The sequence below is a fragment of the Homo sapiens genome, chromosome 7 (genome assembly GCF_000001405.40).
Source record: "Homo sapiens chromosome 7, GRCh38.p14 Primary Assembly".
In the NCBI taxonomy this organism is placed as follows: domain Eukaryota; kingdom Metazoa; phylum Chordata; class Mammalia; order Primates; family Hominidae; genus Homo; species Homo sapiens.
Window position 1 is genome coordinate 8,185,494 of NC_000007.14, and position 24,122 is coordinate 8,209,615.

The 24,122-nt window shown below is 39.1% G+C and overlaps 1 protein-coding gene across 38 annotated transcripts in view; it reads right to left on the reverse strand.

Moving 5' to 3' along the window:
- ICA1 (islet cell autoantigen 1) overlaps nt 1–24,122 on the reverse strand; it is a 149,372-nt gene that overhangs the window by 72,310 nt on the left and 52,940 nt on the right. The window lies entirely within an intron of this gene.

Consider the following 24,122-nt stretch of genomic DNA (forward strand, 5'->3'; position numbering starts at 1 on the left):
GATAGAAATGTAATTCTTGGGCCCTAACTTGGGCCTACGGAATCAGAAACTGGGATGGGGCACATCAATACATTTTACCAAGCCCTCCAGAAGACCCTGCTGCATACTTAATCTTAAGAACCATCTGCCTGGAGTGAAAAGGTTAAGAGCATGCTCTTTGAAGTCAGAGAAATTTGGGCTCGAATGTTTCTATTTAGGCTTACTGCTTCTGTGATCTAGAACAAGGTCATTTGATCCAAGCCTTAATTTCCAAATTAGTAAACAGAGACACAGTATTTCAAAGCTATTGTTAGGATTAAATGAGATAATATATACAGATGGTATCTAAAGTGTATATTGATTATACATACAGTGCTTGGTGCATAGTAAGCACTCAAGAACTGATGTCTGTTATTTTTCCAGGCATGTAGGAGCCTGGGTTAGATGCTACAGGAAACACTTTGTTAATCAGACACAGTTTCTTTCTTCAAGGGTCGTATTCTGAAAGAGGAGCTATACAGCATATAAATAATCATGATACACATTAGGAAGTGTTAGGTGGCAAAAGAGTGGTTGTATAAAGAACCCTGGGAGAGTTTTGAAAGAGTGGAGGAAGTAACATTTGAATGGGCCTTTGAAAAAGGGGAAGCTTGTGGATAGGCACAGATCAAGCGACAGCAATTCAGATGAAAGGAACAGGGGGAGGAGACAGGGAATCCTGGGATACATGGTTTGGCTAATGGGATAACAGCAGGGTGGCCATACAATTTATTGTCCAAACAGGGACGCTCTCTGAGTGAAGAGGGCATCATTAATAGTGAAGCCTGGACAACAAACATAAATGTGGACCATGCCAGACACAGCAATCATCTGGTCACTGTGGAGAATAGGCTGTTGGGAATACAGTATTGGACCTAGGGAAGGAGAGTGGGCTGGGTTTGTGTGGTTCTGAACGACAGGCTGAGGGCTTTGCTTGTTAAGCAATGGGGAGCTGCTGAAGGTCCTGAGCAGGGAAGTGGCCACAGTAGAGTGGTTTTTCAGGAAGATGAGGTTGGCAGCTCTGTGTAGGCTGCTATACAAATGGAGACAGGGGATGGATGACAGAGAGATTTCCAGGGAAGAAATGATGAGATTTTGAAACCAAATAAATGGGTCAGAAAAGAAGAAAGTGAAGCTGAATCTAAAGTTAAGATTTCAAGCTGAGGTCAACAAAAACAAGGAGGGCAGGAAAAGGGGCAGATCAGGGTAAGATATCACAAGTGTACTTTCATGCATAATGTACTCAATTTGATGGGTTCCATTACATATAAGTGACAGGGCCTCAACGTGCCACTGAGAAGGGGAAATATGAAAACTAGTTAGAGTTGTATTCTTATTCCAGTAATGTTGTCTCCATTTCTCAAAAGATAAGCTATTCAATATCTCAGTATAGCACACAGGCTATTATCTTGTTTTGCATTTATTTTATATATCAAACACTTAAAATTGGGCAACAAGAATGTTTATGTTGTGCTTAATATGGACCACACTCAGTTCTAAGAACTTGACAAATATTACAGATTTAATCCTCATTAGAATCTTATGAGCTTGACGTGATTACACTTATGTGTCACTTAACGATGGGGACATGTTCTCAGAAACATGTTGTTAGGTGATTTTGTCCTTGTTCACACATCATACAGTGTACTTAAATAAACCTAGACGATATAGCACCTATTACACACCTATACTTTTTTACAAAGTATATATTATATTACAAAGCATTATATTACACATGAGATGGCCTATTTCTCTTAGGCTGCAAACCTGTACAACATGTTATTGTACTGAATACTGTAGGCAATTGTAACACAATGATAAGTGTTTGTGTATCTGAACATATCTAAACATAGAAAAGGCACAGTAAAAATATGGCATAAAAGATAAAAATGATAAACCTGTGTAGGGCACTTCCCACAAATGGAGCTTGCAGGCCTGGAAGTTGTTCTGGGTGAGTGAGAGTGGTGAGTGAATGTGAAGGCCCAGGACATTACTGTACACTACTTTAGACTGCATAAGCACTACACTTAGACTACACTAAATTTATAACAAATGTTTTTCTTTCTTTGATAATAAATTAACCTTAGCTTACTGTAACTTTTTTACTTTATAAACATCTTTAAACATTTTTAAATTTTTTGACTCTTCTGTAATAATTCTTGTCATAAAGCACAAACACATTGTACAACTGTACAAAAGATTTCTTTATATCCTTATTCTATAAGCTTTTTTCTATCTTTAACTTTTTTCACTTTTTAAACTTCTTTGTTAAAAACTAAGACACACATTAGCCCAGATTTGCACAGATTTAGTATCATCAAGATGTCACTAGGCAATAGGAATTGTCAGCCCCATTGTTATCTTATGGGACCACCATCATAAAATGTCATTATATGGTACTTGACTGTGTCTCCATTTTTCAGATGAAGACACTGAAATATTCAGAAGTTAAGAAACCTGCCTGAGATTATACTGCTACGAAGTGGGGAAGCCACAGTTTGAACCCAGGAGATGCTCACTGCAGAGACTGAGTTCCTCACCAAGGCACCAGGCTGTTTCTTACGCTAAAGGCATCCTAAGGGAACATAATGGAATGGGGATTGGAAAAACTCTTAGATAATGTTTTCTTGGGGTGTTTTGTTATTTATATGAAAAGAAAAGATTTTCCAGTTATAATTATCAAACTGCTTTCATAGAACCAAAATAAATAAGATACTTTGAGAGTACAGGAAAGTTATATAAGTTCACATTGCATAATGACACACTTATTTGGTTTCTAAGTTTCATCATTTCTACGCTGAAAATCTCTCATCTTTTCCCTCCTCTCCATTCTTGTAGCATCCTACACAGAGCTACCAAAATTAACTCTCCTCAAAACTGCTCTTCCATGGTCGCTTCCTTGCCCAGGAACCTTCATACCGACATAATTTCATAATGTCCGATATCAAGGCACAGAGTCAAGATTCCAACCTGAACCACTCTGTTATGCCACCTTCCAAATGACAGGTGACTTCTTTGAATCACTTCGATTGTTACTATTTTAAAAGTGAGTGTGGAGTAAGGGTGGAAGCCTAGAAGGGATTTTTGGTAGAATTATAATTAGGGCATTATAAATATAGGACAGCAAGAGGTAGCTGGGACTTCAGAAATATTTTGGGAGGTAAGGAATATTTTAAACTTGGGAGTACCAGAGTTGCTGCCAATCCTGCCTCTCTTCAGGGCAGGGAAGGCCCCAAGGAGAGCAAGAGAGAACCTTTTTTGGCCATGGCTCCCTAGGGCAGAGAAGAAGCAAGCATTCAGGGCAGTACTTACAGGAATCAAGACTATGGTTTGGTGGGAGCATCCCTGTATTCTATCTTTCAGTGACGCAAAGAGGAGGGCAAGACTTTCCTTGATGAGGCCAGGGGACCATGCCAAACTGTTAGGATGGTAGATGCAGAAGCTATGCTTCCCAGTGAACCAGATTTGATACCCTGGGAGAGGAGTCAATTAAAATAGAAATCAGGGGAGTGAGCCCGCGAGCCAACCCCTCTGCAAAGACTTCATCTGATTCAGACCCTCCTGAGCTTTTACAGAACCCAGTGCCCATTGCAATCATAGCACTTATGAACATTCACTTAAAGATCTGTCTCCCCAAGTAAACACTGCACCCTGTGAGTGCTGGGATCTGTATTATTTGACTGTATTCCCACCAAGCCCAGAGCCTGCACAAAGCATGTGCCCTGAGTAAAATGCCTCTGAATGAATAAAATGAGGGTAGAGCTTTGATCAATTGGGGTCATTATACTAGAAGGAGGCTTATAACTCATTTAGTACAATCCTATTGTCTTACAGATGATGTGATACACAGAGGTTAAAGGGCTTACTAAGGTCCTATGTTGGGTTTAGTGCTAGAGCTGGACCCAGAACCCAGAACACACAGGCGGATTCTTTCGCCTCCTCGCTCTGCTAGGGGCATGAAGACAGAAGACAGCCCCCACAGTCATTCTAACATTTGTTGGCTGGCTATTGGGAATGCAGAATACATTTTCCCATGGAGGCAGGTTTTTTCTTCTTCTTTTTTTTAAATGGTGGTTCGGTTCCCAGGCCAGGCCACAAAAGCCTATTTACCCCATAGCTGAGCTCAACTATAAAACCAGCGGTAGCTCTGAGGCCTCACTGAACCCCCAGCTCCGAGCCTGCAGTCCGAGGGGCAGGTGGGCAGCTGGCTCTGCAAGGGGGGTAGGCAGCGCTCCCTTGAGCAGACCAGGAGTGTGGGGAGGGGGCTGGGCAGGGGGGCTGGGCAGGGGGCCCAGGCAGCAGCTGCAGGAGCCTACAGCAGCCTCTGAATGCCTTGGTGGTTCTTAAGTGGATTGTTTGTAAGTTGGGAACTGTCTGTACTTAGAAAGGCGGATTTCAAGAGGTAGGGGATCCTATTTCACTTGAAGGCCCACAGTAATGAGGGTTCTTTATTCGTAATGAAGTAAGCCACTAATTGGAGGGACGGGCTCAGGAGGCCTGGTGGAATTTTGTACTCCTGGACCAGAACTGAGTAATATTATGCAGTAGCCTGGCAACCCTTTACTTTTGCACAAAATTCATATAAAAATCTACCATGAAGTGCCTGTCTGACATTCACTGTGTTTATTATTAATAATGATAATAACAGGGTAGCTTATACACAGCCTTAAGGCTAAGAAAGTAAATTGAATTCTCAGTTTCTTCCAGTTTTTTTTTTTTCCGCAGTCAGATTAGGAACATTTGGAAAGTCCTTACTCTCCGAGTGGGCTGAAACCTTTCATATTTACCCAGAGGAGACATGGCTGTAGTTTCTAAGGACTCATCCAAGAGATGATCTCTTTCCTTCCTCTGCCTCCTCAGAGAGGCAGAAACATTCCATAAACTCACAAATGTTGTAAAAGTAAATGTACAAAAAAATAATATTAATGGAACTGAAAACGTTACAGTAGAGAAATCAATTATAATAAGGTAATACAGTTAGCTCTTCTGGACTTAATGAAATGTGTTCAACTGCATTGGAATGTTCTGGTGCCCCCTGCAGGATTCTAACACCTCACAGAAATGGTTTAGTACCAATTCAGATGGCTTAGAAAACCCTACAGAGGCAATGTGTTTCTTTTCTCAGGTTCAAATCAACTTAACCTGGCTCAATCACATGCAGAGGGACAAAGCAGGAACTCAATCTAACATTTAAAAGGTTTTTAGCCACCATAAGTTTGTCATTAGAATGGAGGTTTTTGGATCAACAACAGAAACTATTTTTGGTTTGTGAAGTTTATAAATCTAACAGTGCAAAGTTCACGGTTACATGTGTGATCTCTCAATTTTTCTGGGCTGAGTGTTTAGGGAACAAGGAAGTTTGCTTCCATGAGCCTTGCTTTGACTTAGTGCAGAAAAATTAAACATTCTGGAAAGTTAAACATTTAGCTTCTAAATTTTTACTGCCCTGGAATTCCTCAGGAACATGACTCCAGTATGATAATGAACAAATGGTCATCAGAGTTGTTTATTCCATAGTTACAGGTCAGCAGATGTGAGGAACCATCGTCTGACTCCAATAAGCTTTTAAGATGATAGCTGTCCATCGTTCCTGCCCTCCACTTTATACGAGAGTAACTGAAATCACTATTTTGATGTATAATGTCCCTGCTATCATCTAGTCTTAGGTAATTTATCTGAAAGACATTGACCAGGTCTCACTGAATTTGCAAAGAATCATGCTGGCACATAATTCTAATTATATCACAATAGCTACAACATAAATACAGTATTGTAATATTGTACAGACAGTCCTGGATTTGCCATGGTTTGATTTATGATTGTTTGACTTAGAGTTTTTGACTTTGCCAAGATGCAAAAGCAACATGTATTCAGCAGAAACTGTACTTCAAGTACGCAAACAACCACTCTGTTTTTCATTGTCAGTACAGTGTTCAATAAATTACTGTGAAATATTAAGCACTGTAGTATAGTATAGGTTTTGTGTTAGATGATTTTGCCCCACTGTAGGCTAATGTAGGCATTCTGAAAACATTTAAGGTAGCCTGTGGTAAGCTATGCTGTTTGGTAGGTTTGGTGTATTAAATGCATTTCCGATTAGGATATTTTCAACTTGATGGGTTTACTGGGGCATAACTCCATTGTAAGTCAAGAAGCATCTGTATATATGTGTTATATAATACATATTGCCTATAGTAATATTACATATTATTATAATATTGTATAATATTATAACACAATATAAACCTCTACTAATGTCACTTTTTTCAGTGCCATTCCTTCTTTCATATACTGGATGTTTAATTTCTTAATTTGAACATTATAAAGAAACGTATTAAAATTCAAATCACAAAGACACTAAACATAATTCCAGACTTCTAGAAAAGTTGCAAGAATTCTTTGTATGCCTGGATACCCTTCACCCAGATTCCCAAAATGTTAATTCACCCAAACATTACTACATTTGTTTCATTTTCTAAATACAAACACACATAGATTTTTTCCTAAACTGTTTAAGAGTAAATTGCAGACAGAAAGTTCCTTTATTCTTAAATAATTCAATATATATTTCCTAAAAATAGGGAACTCTCTTACATAACCACAGTACAATTATTGAAATCAGGAAATTAATATTGAAATAATGTTATCTAATATTACAGACCTTATTGTGATTTTATCAATTGTCCCAATAATATCTTCTATAACAAAAGAAAATCTAAAATCATACACTGCATTCAGTTGTCATGTTTTTTCAGTCTCCTTTAATCTGGGAAGTTCCTGGGTCTGTCTTTTTTCAGGGCAGGTATTTTAGAGAGTGTTCCACATTTTGGGTTGTCTGATGTGTCCTCACACTTAAATTAAGGTTATACACCTCTAACAGTATAACAAAAGTCATTCCGGCTTTTCCTCAGTGCATGGTATCATGTGGCACATGCTGTTGGTTAGTCCCACCACTAGCGATGTTAACTTTAATCTTTTGGTTAAGATGGTGTTTGCCAGGTTTCTCCATTTGAGTTACTATTTCACCCATTGTAAATAATACAATATAATTTGAAACAATGTAAAGACAACGTAAAGATCCTATATCTCATTAAACTTCCATCCATTAGTTTTCATATTCATAGATGATTCTTGACTGAATCAATTATGTTTATGATGGCTTGCAAAATATGATTTTTGATTTTCAACATTCTACATTTATTGGTTGGCTTTCTACTTTATTTGTTCTCCTTTGTTTGTTTATATCAAAGTAGCTCATGGATTCTTACTTTATTCAATAGTATTACACTTACTAAAATTATTTATTTAAATTAGTAATTTATTTTAACGCTTAAATGATCCCATATTTGGCGAATGGGAGCCTCTTTGGGCTGGCTCCAGCGTCATTTTGACAAGTCCCCCTTATTCTGCAGGTACTTTCTTCATTTTTGGCATGACATGATGTTCCAGGCTCTATTCTACTTTACCTGCCTCAAATTTGAATTTAACCATTTCTCCAAAAAGCCCTAGTTCCTTTTAGTGGAGGGTATGTAGAAACAAAGATCTGGTTTCTAGATATGCTCACTGCTACTAGAGTGAAACTGCTTCAAGGTCATCTCAGAGGACTGAGCTGGGAAATGTTTATATGTATATGTAAACAAATGTGTGCATATCCACAAGTACTCTCAGACACAACACACATACACATATATGTATTATAATCCATGCACAGCTACATTAGTTTACATATATCTAAACACATACACACATGTATGTATGCATGCATGTATGTGTGTATGTATCAGAAATCAGGAGTTTACATCCATATCTCCAATTTGAATCCAATACCGCAGAGTTCTATCTCATCCTTTTACCACAACTGTAGCTCCGTTCTCCTAAAGTGCAAAACCTGGCTCCCACTGTCCACAACTTATCTGCTCAATCCTGGAATGCACGAAGAATAGTTTCAGAACTGCTAACCTATGCTTCTGCAAAAAGAGACGACGTCTGCTAACTAGAGTTGAAAATTCCAAGGGACCAGGAATGACATTAAATCAAAGAGGTCAATATATTCATTTTCAAAGTCAGTCCTGTTGTCAAAATCAGTAAGAAAATGGTGGTGGCAAAAGCATTCTATCCTTCAAATCCTTCCCTCTGTAGATTCTGCCATTGCGTGATATCATACCGAAGTTAGAGTTTGGCCAGATATGACATGAAAAAAACTGTCTTTTGTTCCATTTGCTTATTTATTCATTTATTACATTATACTTTGCCTGCTCCCATAACAAACCTTTGAGTAATAACATATCTAAGCAGAAGAGCTAACACAGAGAGACCAAAACCAATATAAAGAAAAGAGGAGATGATTTTATGTGGAACAGAGATATTCTAAGAAGGTCACAGGAAAGGAGCCTGTGATAGATGGAGTTTCTGTGTTTGCCTGTGGTGGCTGCAAACAAATTACCTCAACTGCCTCTGTCCTAACAGCATTCTTTTCATTTTCCAAGTTCACTTTCAGTCTCTGTCCATATGTGGCCAATTAAAATTATATGGTTATCTTCATAGATAAAATGATTTTTTAAAATCTCTGCCCCTTAAACTGGTAACAGGTTTGATGATATTTCATGCCTGGAACAGAACTATTCCAGAACTGTTCCTCCAAAGCTGGCTTGCTCTGGAATCCTGTCTGTTATACACAAACACACATATACACATGTGTGTGAACTCTCCTCCCCACTATATTATACCCTAGATCCCTGAATCAGAATCTTTGGGGCGGTGGGGTTGGAGAGACCAAATGTAATAAATGTTAATATCAGTGAAAATGACTTACAGAAGCAGCCAAAAATAAATTACTTTTTACAAAAGTTCATGTTTATTTATAAAATAAAAGACGTTAACATCTTGTTTTCAATTTTCTTTTTATGAAGCCAACAGTTTATTAAATACAACTTACTTATTTGTGAGAAAAGGCTATCTCTCCTTTTAAAATTCTTACCATTTTAGCTTAATTAATTTTACCAAACTGGCAAGAGTCTGACTTAAAAGTCCCTTGAGCCATCAAAAGCTATAAAAATGTTACTTCTTCTTGACCAAATTATTTTCTTGAAGCAGATTCCTACAAATTCAGGGGAATTTTCTAAAATACGGGCAAAGGTTTATGTACAAAAAGTTTCAGACAGCATTTATTTGCTCACAAATGTAAGCAACCTAAAAGTCTAATGTTAGGGCGTTTTATATAATAAAATATTGGGCTATTGTCGTCACTTTTTTTTTATAAAGAATTTTTTGACACACAGGGAAATGCTTATGATAAATGGAAGCCCTTTAAATGTAGGTATTGGGTCTTTTTCTGTATTAAATCTCCAATCTCCATGCAATGCTAAGCACTTAATAGGTGCTTCAAAAAATTTTTTTATGTTGAGTTGAAATAATAAAGCATTAAAAATTATATGTGTGGAAGAAAATATTTACAAAAGACATGTATGATAAAGGACATGCTATTCAAAATATACAAAGAAACTTTAAAATTCAACAATAAGAAAATAACCTGGTTTAAAAAGTGGCAAAATATATGAATAGATACTTCACCAAAGATGACATACAGATGGCTAATAAGCATATGAAAAAATGCCCAATATTGTATGTCATTAGGGAACTGCAAATTAAAACAACAATGAGATAATACATAGATACTAGAATGGCAAAAATCCAAAATACTGACATCAAATGCTGGTGAGGATGTGAGAATACAAAATGGGGCTGGGTGCGGTGGCCCACGCCTGCAATCCCAGCACTTTGAGAGGATGAGGTGGGCAGATCCCTGGATCTCTTGAGGTCAGGAGTTCGAGACCGGCCTGGCCATCATGGTGAAACCCTGTCTCTACTAAAAATAGAAAAAATTAGCCGGGTGTGGTGGCGCATGCTGATAATCCCAGCTACTTTGGGAGGCTGAGGCAGGAGAATCCTTGAACCCGGGAGGCAGAGGTTGTAGTGAGCCAAGATCATACCACTGCATTCCAGTCTGGGCAACAAGAGTGAAACTCTATCTCAAAACAAAAACAAAAACAAAAACAAAAACAAAAACAAAAACAAAATGGTATCGCCACTTTGAAAGACAGTTTGACAGTTTCTTATAAAACTAAAGTTCTTACCATATGATCTAGCAACAGTGCTCCTTGGTGTCCACCTGGAGTTAAAAACATCCGGCCGGGCACAGTGGCTCATGCTTGCAATCCCAGCACTTTGGGAGGCCAAGGCGGGAGGATCACGAGGTCAGGAGTTCGAGACCAGCCTAGCCAACATAGTGAAACCCCATCTCTACTAAAAATACACAAATTAGCCAGGCATGGTGGTATGTGCCTGTAGTCCCAGCTACTCGGGAGGCTGAGGCAGGAGAATTGCTTGAACCCAGGAGGAAGAGGTTGTGGTGAGCTGAGATCGTGCCACTGCACTCCAGCCTGGGCAACAGAGTGAGGCTCCGTCTCACAACAACAACAACAACAACAACACCAACACCAACACCAAAAACAATAACAACAAAAAATTCCACATAAGAACCTATACATGAATGTTTACAGCATCTTTATTCATAGTTGCCAAAAAGTGGAAGCAACCAAGCTGTCCTTCAGTAGATGGATGAAAAAACTGTGATACATCCAGACAATGAAATATTATTTAGTACTAAAAGGAAATAAGCTATCAAGCCATGAAAAGATATGGAGAAATTTAAGTACATATTACTAAGTGAAAGACACCAATCTGAAAAGCCTACCTGCTATATGATTCCAATTATATGACATTCTGAAAAAGGCAAAACTATGAAGGCAGTAAAAAGATCAGTGCTTGCCAGGCGCTCAGGGAGATAGAAGGATGAATAGGTGAAGCACAGATGACTGCTCGGGCAATGAAACTACCCATATGCTACTAGAATGGTGGGTACATGTCACTATACATTTGTCAAAACATAGAATCTACAACACAAAGAGTGAACCCTAATGTAAACTCTAGACTTTGGTTGATAATAATGTGTCAACCTTGGCTCATTAATTGCAAAAAATGTACTGCACTGATGGGGGATGCTGATGGTGAGGGAGGCTGTGTGTATGCACTGGGTATGTGTGTTGTGGGGTGGTTGGGAAGCGGGGAGTGAGTATGCAGAAACTCTGTATCTTTCAATTTTGCTGGGAAGCTAAAAATTGCTCTTAAAATAGTCTATTAACTTTACATATAATATATAATATATTGATGTGGTTTGGCTGCATTCCCACACAAATCTTACCTTGAATTGTAGTAATTCAATTATCACAGGGGCCAGGTGGAGATAAATGAATCACGGCAGTTCCCCCATACTTTTCTTGTGGTAGTGAATATATCTCACGAGATCTGATGGTTTTATAAATGGGAGATCCCCTGGACAAGCTTTCTTTCCTCCCGCCATGTGACACGTGACTTTGCTCCTCATTCACCTTCCGCCACGATTGTGAGGCCTCCCCAGCCATGTGCAACTGTGAGTCAATTAAACTTCTTCCCTTTACAAATTACCCAGCCTTGGGTATATCTTTATTAGCAGACTAATAGATATATTAATATATATAATTTTTCTACACATGAGCATTTAAAAAATGTCTTTGGGAAGGGGTAAAAAAGACAGATGTATATCCTTAATGTAGATGCTGAAAAAAAAAAGACAGATGGTAAAGATGAGAAAAGATAATAAAAATTATGCTTCAGACCCTTAAAAAATGTCTACCATTTGCCAACCACATTAAAAAAAAGAAGAGGCTGGGTGTGGTGGCTCACGCCTGTAATCCCAGCACTTTGGGAGGCCGAAGCGGGCGGATCACAAGGTCAGGACTTCAAGACAAGCCTGGCCAACATAGTGAAACCCCATCTCTACTAAAAATACAAAAATTAGCCGGGCATGGCGGTGCGTGCCTGTAGTCCCAGCTACTCGGGAGACTGGGGCAGAAGACTCACTTGAACCCGGGAGGTGGAGGTTGCAGTGATCACACCACTGCACTCCAGCTTAGGCAATAGAGTGGGACTTCGTCTCAGAAAAAAAAAAAAAAAGAAGAAAGAAGAAATAATAATAATAATAATAATAATAATAATAATAATAATAATGGAGTCTTTCTATTAAAGATGAAGGGTGGAAGCCATCCATTTAGCTCTATTCAACCCTGAAAGCCCACCAAAAACTCTAAGGGGGCACAAACGAGAACAAAGAAGATGGGAAAAGAGCTACCACTACTAAACGTTGGAAGCTGGAAAGTAGATAGATGACTTATAACTAAATGAACAGACCCAAGAAAGCTAAATCCAAATCTGGCAATGGAAAAAACCTAAAAACTACCTGGTTAATTCAGAACTCTCAAAGTTTTATGAACTGATGGTTTGGATACCTTTGGAAGTGGAAGTGATAGGATGGAATGGATGTTAGGGAATCAACCGAAAATATATGTTATACATAATGATTTTATCAGAAGAGTATTCCCTATATTTTGGAATGATGTATTTCTATCAACTTTCTTTTGAAAATTAAAATTTCTAAAAGTTGTGTATGTAACAAACAATACAGATTGTGGTATACCACAAGCCAAAATATGGAAGCAGAATACAAGCTAATGGCCTATGGCAGAAAATGTGGTTTGCATAAATGTTACCCATTGTCACAAACATCCACCCATCCTGCGCTGCACACTGTGCTACTTCATGCTCCTTCTCTTGTGGACTTCTATTCTCTTTCTCCAGGTTGAAGGGAAATCATCCACATACCTGCTGAGATGGTATCAACCTCAACCTGTCTCCTAGCAGAGGAGACAATATGAGCAAAGCATTGTTTGGAGAAAATCAAGTAGCTTGATGTTATTGCAACAGAAAATATGAGGCTGAAAATAGTGTGAATTAAAACCCTAGATTTGGACCAGAGTGAAACCACAGAGGGCTTTGTGGGATGTTGAGGAGCTTGAACTCAATCCTGTGGCCTTGGCAGTTACTTTGCAGAGACGTTGATGTGGTTGGATTTGGGTTTCATTTCAGTCACACTGGGGTATGTGGAAGGCAGACTTGAAGCAGGAAGCCAAGCCAGAGACTGGTGGTCCAGGCGAGCGTCATAAGGCCTGAACAAGAGCCGAGATGACAGACTTAAGAAGACATAGATCTGGAAAATATTTGGAAGGTCAAAATATGCTAATCTGATGATTTGTTGGATGTAGGAGGTGTGAGAGAGTAAGGCATCAAGATGTTCTTTAGGTTTCCAGCCTCAGTGACAATAAAGGGAGCAGTTCTGCACAGCAAAGGAAACAACAACGTGAAGAGATGACCCACAGAATGGGAGAAAATAATGTGCAAACTACCTGACAATGGATTAATAACTAGAGTATATAAGAAGCTCAAATAACTCAATAGGAAAAAATCTAATAATCTGATATAAAAGTGGGCAAAAGATTTGAATAGACATTTCTCAAGACACAGAAATGGCAAACAGGCATACAAAAAAGTGCTCAACATCGTTCATCATCAGAGAAATGCAAATCAAAATGACAATGAAAGATCATCTCACCCCAGTTAAAATGGCCTTTATCCAAAAGACAGGCAATAACAAATTCTGGCAAGGATGTGGAGAAAAGGGGAACCCTGATAAATCAGTACAACCATTGTGGAGAACTGTCTGGAGGTTCCTCAGAAAACTAAAAGTAGAGCTACCATATGATCCAACAATCCCACTGCAGGGTATATACCCAAAAGAAAGGAAATCAGTATATCAAAGACATATCTGCACTCCTGTATTTGTTGCAGCAAATACAGGCTCTTGGCTGTTCACTACAGCTATGATTTGGAAGCAACCTAAGTGTCCATCAATAGATGAATGGATAAAGAAAATGTGGTACTTATACACAATAGAGTACTATTCAGCCATAAAAAGAATGAGTTCCTGGCCAGGCATGGTGGCTCACGCCTGTAACCCCAGCACTTTGGGAGGCCAAGGCGGGCGGATCACTTGAGGTCAGGAGTTTGAGACCAGCTTGGCCAACATGGTGAAACCCTGTCTCTACTAAAAAAATAAAAAAAATTAGCCGGGTGTGGTGACAGGTGCCTGTAATCCCAGCTACTCAGGAGGCTGAGGCAGGAGAATTGCCTGAACCCAGGAGGCAGAGGTTGCAGTGAGCCAAGATCATGCCACTGTGCTCCACACTGATGACAGAGCGAGACTCTGTCTCAAAACAAAAACAAAAAACAAAAGAATGAATTCCTGTCGTTTGCAACAACATGGATGGAACTGGAGGTCATTATGTTAAGTGAAATAAGCCAGGCACAGAAAGACAAACATTGCATGTTCTCACTTATTTGTGGAACCTAAACATCAAAACAATTGAACTCATGGAGACAGAGAGTAGGATGGTTACCAGAGGCTGGGAAGGGTAATGGGAAGTGGGAAGGGAAGTCGGGATGGCTAATGGGTACAAAAAAATAGAAAAAATGAGTAAGACCTAGTATGTGATAGCACAACAGGGGGACTACAGTGAATAATAATTTAATTGTACATTTTAAAGTAACTAAAAGAGTATAATTGAATTGTTTATAACACAAAAGATAAATGCTTGAGGAAATGGATACCCCATTTTACACGATGTGATTATTATGCATTGCACGCCTGTATCAAAACATCTCGGGTACCTCATAAATACATATACCTACTATGTACCCACAAAAAATAAAATTTAAAAAATTAAAAAGTACATCAACTGAACATTTATTCAGTTAAAGCATAGTGCCATGTGTTTCCGGGATGACAGAAGTAATTAGGGCTTCTTAAAGTCTTTGAGAACCTTTAGCACAGTTGAGCAAAAAAAAAAAAAAAAAAAAAAGAACAATTACAAAACAATATATTAGAACAATTACAAAGTACTATATTAATGAAAAAGTGAACTCGTGGAAGTTTGGATTTTATGCCAGATTAAAGAAGTGGCCATAAGTTGACATGGAGGAAATAAAGGAACAGATTGACTTCCTGTTTGGGGGACGCAATCATGAAGGGCACGGACATAAGAGCAAGCACATGCCATGTGAAGGTTGACAAGTATGGAAGGGGCCTTGCTGGGAATCAGAGATGAGACCGATGAGGTCTCATGGAAAGGGAGCAAAAAGAACACTTGAATATAGGAAACTGGATTTACTAGACTGTAGTTGACTACTGAAAATCATTTTAGATTCTTCAGTATAATGAAAGAGTTTCATGAAGATTTAAGCCACAGTTATGAATATTAGTTGAGTTTTGAGCTGGTAATCCTGGATCCATCTACTAAATGTCCAGCCAAACAGGATAGTTTCATAATTTATCATTCTTTTCTAATTTCTCACTGTCTATTTCTCAGAAAAGCCATGTCTAGCTTTGGCTCCTTTTGTAACTGTAGACATATTCTGGACTGAAGTGTTTCATGTCTGATCTACTTTTACCACTGCTCTATTCTCTTGATGCCAAAAAACCCCACAAATTTCATTTACTTTAGTGGTCAATGAGTATGGCAGATAAAAACATACTTTCTAGAGTGACAATGCTTGTGTTTTAGTCATAGAAAATTGGGGCAATATTTTTGTAATATATCAACGTGGTTTTCTATTTGCATGTCTATGTGCCTGACCTCCTCCATTGCCAGCCTGAGACATACCTCTCCCTGGCTGTGCCTCTGGATTGTTGCAGGAGAAATACAAAAAGAAAGTTGTACTCTCCAGCTTCTGACAGCCCAAAATTGGGTTCTCAAGTCTGCAGCAAGACAATAAACTTGAAACTCGGGCTTTTTAAAGGATTAGAAAGTGTTTATCTTCCACTTTAGCAGGTGGACTTGATCCTACACTTCGTATTATGGTGGTGGTATGATGGGGTTAATGACAAGAGAAAGGAAGGGACAAATCCTGCCCACCCGTTTCTGGGCTGGGGCCTTCAATCAGGGAACTGGGCCTTTTAAAGACACATGGAGCCCAACTTTGTCTCAGGGAGGAAAAGCCCTGAGGGAAAAACCAAAGGCAGAAGATGAGCTGCCCCACCGCCTGTTTGGGAGTCTGCAAGAGGGTTGCCTCTCAGGCCTGACTTGGCTCCAAGTAGGGTCAGCTGCGTTAAAATAAAGCAGTGCAGTTGATGAAAAAGGGCCGAGTTTAGCTCCCAGGTTTCTCCATAAGCTTTTGTGGTATGGAGAAGAAATTCAGAAGATCTTCTATGTTTTATGGAAAGAAGAGGGAGGTGGCTGAGGGTGCTGGCCAGTAAACTTGCCAGGGAATGGCACTGGGTTAGCAGCCAAATGGAAGTCCAAGGTAATCAGAGTTGCCATTAGGGAGATTCATCAGAGGAAGGAGGCTGAGGATTTTAGAACATTCCTAGGGCTGAGGAAGGAGACCAGGCATTCCCCTGGCCACAGGTTTCAGGAACTCACCATGCAAGCCCAGATGCTGCAGCAAGATAAGCAAGAAACCGGGGGACAGGGAGTGGCCTCAAGGACACCATGTCCCCTGCCTACCCCCAGGACACAGTCAGCCCAATGCCCTCCCTCCTGGGGCAGAGAATGCTTCTGAAAGGGCATCCAAAAAGAGATGATTTAAAACAGTACAGAGGAAGCCAAATTTTGATTGACTCAACATTTAAACTGAAACAACAGAGGCTTCTTAACCTTATTCAACTGACAAGTGTAGAAGACCCCATCATGCTGCTCATGAAGAAACTGCTTTAGTTCCAGAAAATAAGGGGATGCATGTGTCAATGTGGTCTGAGTCAAATTATAATCCCTTCCACCTGGCCCTGACATGTTCTGACTGTGTCACATTGAGACAGTTATGTAACCTCTCTAAGCGTCAAAATCCTCATCTGTGAAAAGGAGATCATAGTGTCTTCCTCTTGGGGAGTTTTAACGAGCCCATTCATGTAAATTGCTTAGAACTGTAGCTGATACATGATAAACTTTTTAAATGTGCTAATTTTGTTATCACTTCTACTTTACATTCAATGTCAAAGTTTCTTTTATTCTGTTCAAGAATGGCTAACTACATCTTTGTCAAAAAATGTCAAAGTACTGTATTTCTGACATTCTTCATTTATGATTTCAGAACCTCTAGTGCATTCCCACAAGCACAGAAATGCCATTCTGGGGATGAATGAGAATTACTGTTTTTATATCACCCTTGACTTTTTCTCAGCTTAGTAAACATCTTGGTACTCACCACAGAAATTACCTCCAAGCCAGGAAGATATTTCTTAAGAATAATGTTAGCTGTAACAAACTGCAGAGTAAAATGATGGAGGCATCTGTAGGACCTGGTGGTGAGCCTGCTCTGTCTTAGGCTGATTACTCCTAAGAGGAAGAACCAGCTATAGGCAATAGACACACCGCACGAATGGGGGAAAATGCAGAGGGGAGGATTCCTTTGTGAACCTGTGGGCAATTTTAACATGCATATCAGGACAGGACAGTGTCAGAGTGCTCCTGGCAAATTCCTTGTGATTAACATGGGTACATTAACTGTCAGAATTGTTTGCTGCTGAGTATTCAATAATAGATATTAACTAACCTGGGGCTCCATTCTAGCTCTTTCAGTTTTCTGTATCAACCTAGAGAACACCAAGGGGGCTTTAGCTGAAGCAGGAGAAGAGATTTCGTTAGAAAGGTTAGTACTGATTCTAGATAAACAAAATAAGTAATTTTTGAGTGTCTGTGATATACAAATTTCTAGGCTCTAAGCCTTAGGTAAACATGCATGTAAGTACTAAAAAGCACATTAAGCCTTAATATAGTAGAGTTCCTGGGAAATCCAGTGGTTTAAGTGACTTTTCCATGTAGGTAAAGCATATTCTATTAAAAAAAAAGTTAAGACATAAGAAATCTTCATATAAGTCAGATACCTCTTATTAAATGTCTATCTTCTAAAATAGAGCAAAATTGCCTTTTTTGATGGATCAGTCATCATCATGAACATCAGCTATTTCACGATGGTGCTCTGAGAAAGTATTTCTCAAGGTGTGATCTATGGATCCCAGAAAAGGAATTATCTGGGAGCCCATTAAAAGTCAGATCTCTGAGCCCCACCCCAGGCCTCCAGAATCAAAATCCTTAGGTAGAAGCCAGGATTCTCCACATCCAACTTGCTTCTCAGAGGATTCTTACACTCAACTCAGGCCAGAGAGGCCCTAATTCAGAGTGAGTTGAGATGTTCTTCACTGGAAATGTCTGCAGGGGGCCTGTTAATTTTCTGTGCCTATTTGCTGTAGGGCTTCTGCTACTTTCCTCTTATGACCGCAAACCTTTCAACAGTGACAGGCTTTAAACCTGTGGGGCAATTTGCAGAGGATCCTTTGCTGGATGCTGGCCTTTGTGATGTCTACTTTCCAACCATGAGCCTCAGCTTTGGGTCCCTGAGTTGAGCCTACTCTTGCAGGATTCAGGCGCCAGACAGACCCCAAGGAATTCAGGCTCTAGACCTGCCATTTCACCTCAAAAAACGACTCCCAGAATAAGGTAGAACAGAAATGTGAAACGCCAAACCCAGAAATGTGACTGGATGTTCAAGAGACAGAGAGATTGGTGAGAAGGAAAAAAAAAAGCCCAAATACTCCTTAAGGGTGCTTGGAACATGAAACACTGGGGTCAGAAAAACGAGTTCAGAGGACGTGGCATGTGCTGGAAGATGTGACTGCTACTTGAACAGGAAGCCAGGTCTCCTCTACCCCAGAAACCTTTTTTTCCAATAGTAACCTAATATCACACAAGGATCTGTTTATCGGATTGTAGTAATATGGGGCTGGAAAGCCGAGAAGAGCACTGACTCTAGAGTCAGAGGCTTGGGTTCAAATTCTAGTTCACACGTATGGCTATGGGCAAGTCAGTCATGGCTGCCCTGTGGTCTTATCTGTGAAATGGGAAAAAGAATTCATACCCTCGCTAAACTCTTGTGCAGTTTTAACGAAGTAATGAATATGAAACAGCTTTGTAAACTGTAGAGAACTTTACCAATATTTAATCAAAAATATTCTGCATTATGTACATATTTAAAGAGCTGCTACATCTATCTACAAGGCAGAATGTTAGGGAAAACTCTAGGCTGGGAAAAAATTCAAATATGTTAATTTTCTTACATAAATAAACCTATCACATTGTTCATTGTGGAGTTTAAATATCTGCTGTGCTTTTGTACTAAGAAAAAGATATTTTTAAACAAAAAATGAGCAGTCTTTTGACTTTTGCACAACTCATGTTTAACGTTCTTTTAAAGTACGTTTTTCTTATTTTCTGGATTAAATCGTAAGAAAGTTCATCAAATCTTCATTATATTTTCAAAATACTCTTTCCTATTGTCATCTCCTTAATGTCAACTTTACTTGCACCATTTATTAGCTGACATTGCAGAACAGTGGGGAAAATGGGGACATGCCAGGGAGAAAGGAGGGACAATTAAGTCCACAATGAATCTAATAGGTTTTGCCTAAAACCTAAAATACACTAAGGATAAGGAAGAGGGAGTCTAACTTACGAAATCTAACCATTGTCTGGTTTCACATCATGACTTTTAGCTGTTGCTTTTTATTTTAAAATGGAAGACATGCAAAAAAAAAAAAAAAAGGCGGGGGGGTGGGCTAAGCTAATTCTTTCAGCAGAGAATTAATGAAAAGCAGACGGAGGCCTGGATCATAAGTACCAATAAAAGCTTTAGCTGACATAGCTTCAGTTTACAAATCCCTGCCTTTTCCTGGCAGGGCTTGGGGAGGGAAGGTGAGGAAGCATGGCATACACAGCCTGGATGAGGAAGATATGCAGATCTTTAAAATTAAAGATGTTTTCAATGTCTTATTCTAAAATACTTGATTTGTGGTGCCTCTGATAAAATTCCAGTGAAACCTGAGTATGCCACATAGTCTCTAGTAACCCTCAGAGGAGCCACATCCTCTGTGTTCCCAGTCATACCTGACTTTAACACATACACTTTGTTAAAAGGAGCCCAATCCATAACATGCACACAAAAAGATGTGTGGTTTAGAATCTGCATGTGTTTCCATTTCTTTTTAAACTTGAACATTAGGAGACCCTTATGAGAGTATTAAAAAATAAGCTAGTAATAAACAAATATTATGAAGCCAGAGGGATATTAGTTTGATTTATGGCAATTGATACTACTCAAAAACTTTTAATGACAAAATTGGGGCTAGCAGGAACATAAATCCTCTTGGGTTTAGTTTGTAAGACCTGGAAGACTCCCAAAGAAAAGGAACTGATGAAATCGCTAGATTGAGAGAACAGAGTTGAGAGAGAGACTGTAGGGAAAGACTGTGTCTCAGCACATTAAACAGCATGAATAAGAAATAGAAGTGGACGCTGAACACAGAGCAAGTCATTAAGGCTGACAGAAAACCTCCATGTCAGGAGACGAAACCTCGGCCTGTAGGGTGCTGCAATCCAACTCGAAGGCCTGGAGTTGGGTTGAAAGTGTGGAGATGGTTCCCTCTCAAATAGCTGCCCCCTCCACAGCCTCTCTCCCCCTCCCCCTTCGTTCTTTTTTGGGAAAGGATTTTCTCCACGTTCTCACTGATGCTAAACATAGAACATGTTCCTTCTAGGACAGAATTGAGATATGTGGGAAAAGTTGGCTTTTTACTTTCTCACCTTTTTTCCCTTTCCGGATAAGCATAACTGCTTCTTGAAGTTCTCCTAGAACAGTGGAGGCTTTTAAAAGAAACACTCTCATCTTCCTTCCTGCTATTTGGTGGATTTCCCTCAGGCACTAGTTTTGATCCTTCCATCCCTAAGTGACTTCACCTCCTCACATGGCTCTCCCTGCTGATGGCTTTCGAAAATGACTTCATCCTCCAACCTCCTCCATCCAGCTGCCCACTTGACATTACCTTGGAACTTAGCTTCCCATCTTTGCCCCTAAAGCCTGATTTCTCTCTTCCCTTTATTATTATTAAAAACAAACCATTTAAAAACCCTCCCCATTTTTGCCAATTTAAGAAACTTTTCTGTCATTCTCCCTTTTCTTCTGTTCTTCAATCTCATTGATTCTCAATATTTTTAATACAAATTATTTTAATGGGTAACCCGTGCACATGGCACAACATTTGAGAGGCAGGAAAAGGCGTATGGTGAAACCTCAACCTCATTCTTAGCTTCCTCAGCTCATCTCATCCCCCAACTTGCTTCCAGGCCCTGGAAGCACTTGCGGTTGCCAGCTTCTCCTGGATCTTTCTCCCACAGGTTTAAAATGAAAAAAAAAAAAAAAAAAAAAAGAAAGAGAACAAGATCCTAAATGTAACATATTTTGCCCCACTATTTTCTCAGCTTCCTTATTTGAGAGATTTCTTCATTTATTTCACATGCATTAATCTGTAGACTATTTTCCCCTATGGTCCCTCCTCTTCCGATGTGGATATTTTCCAAGTCCGTTCGCCTGAACCTCTCTCAGAACATGAACTAATACCCATGAACTATTTTTGCTTGTAAGCATGGCTGAGTCCCACTTCTAGTGGTCCAGGACAGAAATTTATTCAAAAGAACAAAGCAGAAGAAGACCTCATCCCTCAATTTGTTTATATAATTAATCTATCTTGAGAAACATCCCTCATTTCAATGTCAGCAGTCACCAACAGAACCACAGTGAGGAATCAGCATCTAAATGACAATGGTTGTCTCAGAGTCACAGCTGGAGAGAGAATTTTAAAAGATGGATGCACAGATAGATGGGTGGTTGGATAGAAGGAGCCAATCAACTGTGAAGTGTTACCAAGCCCGAAAATCATATTTCATTTGATGGTAACAACAGAAGCCTGATTAATGCATGTGGGAATTTCATTTCAGAGTTATACCAACAGGCTCTTAGGGTCTGCTTCTTTTTAGGGCTCCCTGAACCCATGTAAAATTGGCCCATTTAAGATTTTAAGGCTCCTCTCTCTGAGTTCCATTGATCTTGCTTAATTATTAGGAGTGGGATAGCTGCTGAAGATGAAGCAGGATTTCTTCACTTGGGATAATTTTATTATACCTGTAACTGTCCTGAAAATTTTATGTTTGAAAGGTAGTACACATATTTTTAAAGCTGTTTTCTGTTTAAGGTTTTCTTTTTATCAATAACTCACTAAAGGAGACAAAGCGAAGACACTTTTTGAGGTAAGTGGGATGAAAGTGGCTGAGAATTGTGCACATTTTAGTGAACAGAGCTCCTGCTGACCAGGACATAAACCGGTAACATGCCAGCCTCCATTTCCTCATTTCCCTGTTAGATTAGAATTACAGCAGTTCTCTGGAGAACAAGGAATCATCCAACATCTTTTTTTGCTATTTTAAATCTCAGAACTATGAATGGAAACTACCAGTTTTCTATTGGATCATTCTTCCGATAGCTCAAACACTAAAATATAGATAGACTTAGGACCTGGGACAAAGGGGATTCTGAGTTTCACTGAGAGACAGGGAACCTATGAAATCATGACAACCTATGACTCCATTATAGGGCCAATACTGCTTGCATAAACCTTGTTAGGAATGCTTTGTTGAGGGTTAACAAAAATAATTCAATCATTAAAAAATGCTATTCAAAATTCTTTAATATTCCTTGATGACAAACTAACACAGAACACAAGTTTTTCCTAAAGCAATTGTGATTTAGATCTTTCTTTCTAAAATATTAATTTTCCCTAGCCAACTTATAAATCTAGTTTTACGTAAAAGTGGCAATCTAGGCAACCACGAAACCATTATTTTTGCAGTCACCGAAGTCTGTTTGTAAAGAAGGATTTGAAGAAAATTCTTTTTGATTCTAACAAAAGCAACTTACAGTACTATAACGCTATTGGCATTCGGGAAACAGTAGCTACACTGCTCCTGTTTGAAATTTAAATAAAACCCATGCTCTATTTTGTATATGTAAGTAAATCACCATATTTTAAAATAAAAATAAAAATAAAAAGTAATGGATCCCTGAAGCATAAATACTTTAAACGAGTGTGCTGGGCTAACCCACCAGGGTACAACTGTCTTCTTTTATACTGAAATCTAGAAGATGGTAAAAATTACAACATTTCATCTTGGTGAATAAGACGACTAGCTGGGAAAGATGATATGTGAGCTGTTAACCAAAAAGAAGAAAGTAATCTAGAAGGATGTGTTGCTATGACAGACTTAGGGATAAACTACAGAGGCGAGAGATAGTAACCAGTAAATCATACTACCTGAACATGGTAATTTTCCATTGACCCGTAATTTAAGATGATACCTTCTTCAGGAGCTACCAAAAAGAGACAGAGGCCAGCGGAACAGTCAGTGTTGGGTGGGGGTAGGGGGAGTTGTCACAGGCACTATACATCCCTCTGACCCTGCAGCCAAAAGCATTAAGTGATGAAACATGGAAACAGTCATCCAAGAGATTCAAGCTGCTGAGGCACTGAGGAGCCCTTGTTAAGAGATGGGCTCAATTTACGGCAGTATTTTGACCTGGAACTTGATGGTTCCACTCAGTAAAACCTGTTATGTTTTGACTGTTGTCATCCATGAAATTCTAGAAGCCAAGCTTGCATGTGCCACCCAATACACCTAAACCTTAGGAAGAAAAGCCAGACAATCTGGCAAAAGGAAAACTATCTTGGACCAGATCAGTTCACACAGATGAGTTCACAGATAATTCACTTTTGTCCAGAGTCCACTCTGAAACTCGAGAGTTAAGCAAGCTTTTCCCTTAAACAATTAGAGAAATGTCACATGGAAAGATTTAATGCCTCTCAAGAGAGATGTGGTCCTTCCCCCTCCACACTTGAAAAAAATCTGTTTGAAGCCAACATATTAGCATTTATAGTATTACAAAACATGCTTAATTTTAAAAAAACTGTATGGATAGTTCCTCTACTTATAGAATTCAAGGAACAGAAATTATGAATTAGTAAGTATAGATGGTATCTTCTAGGATGTTAATATCAAATGACTCCTCGCTTGCATACCTGAGTCTCATTTTTGTTCAATGGAAGGATTAAATTTCAGTAATACATTTATAAGATGCATATTATGTTTATTTATTATGCAATTTGGGTTCGAGGATGTGTAAGACCCGGATTTTACACATTCTTGAACCCCAATTGCATAATAATTAAGCCTATTTAT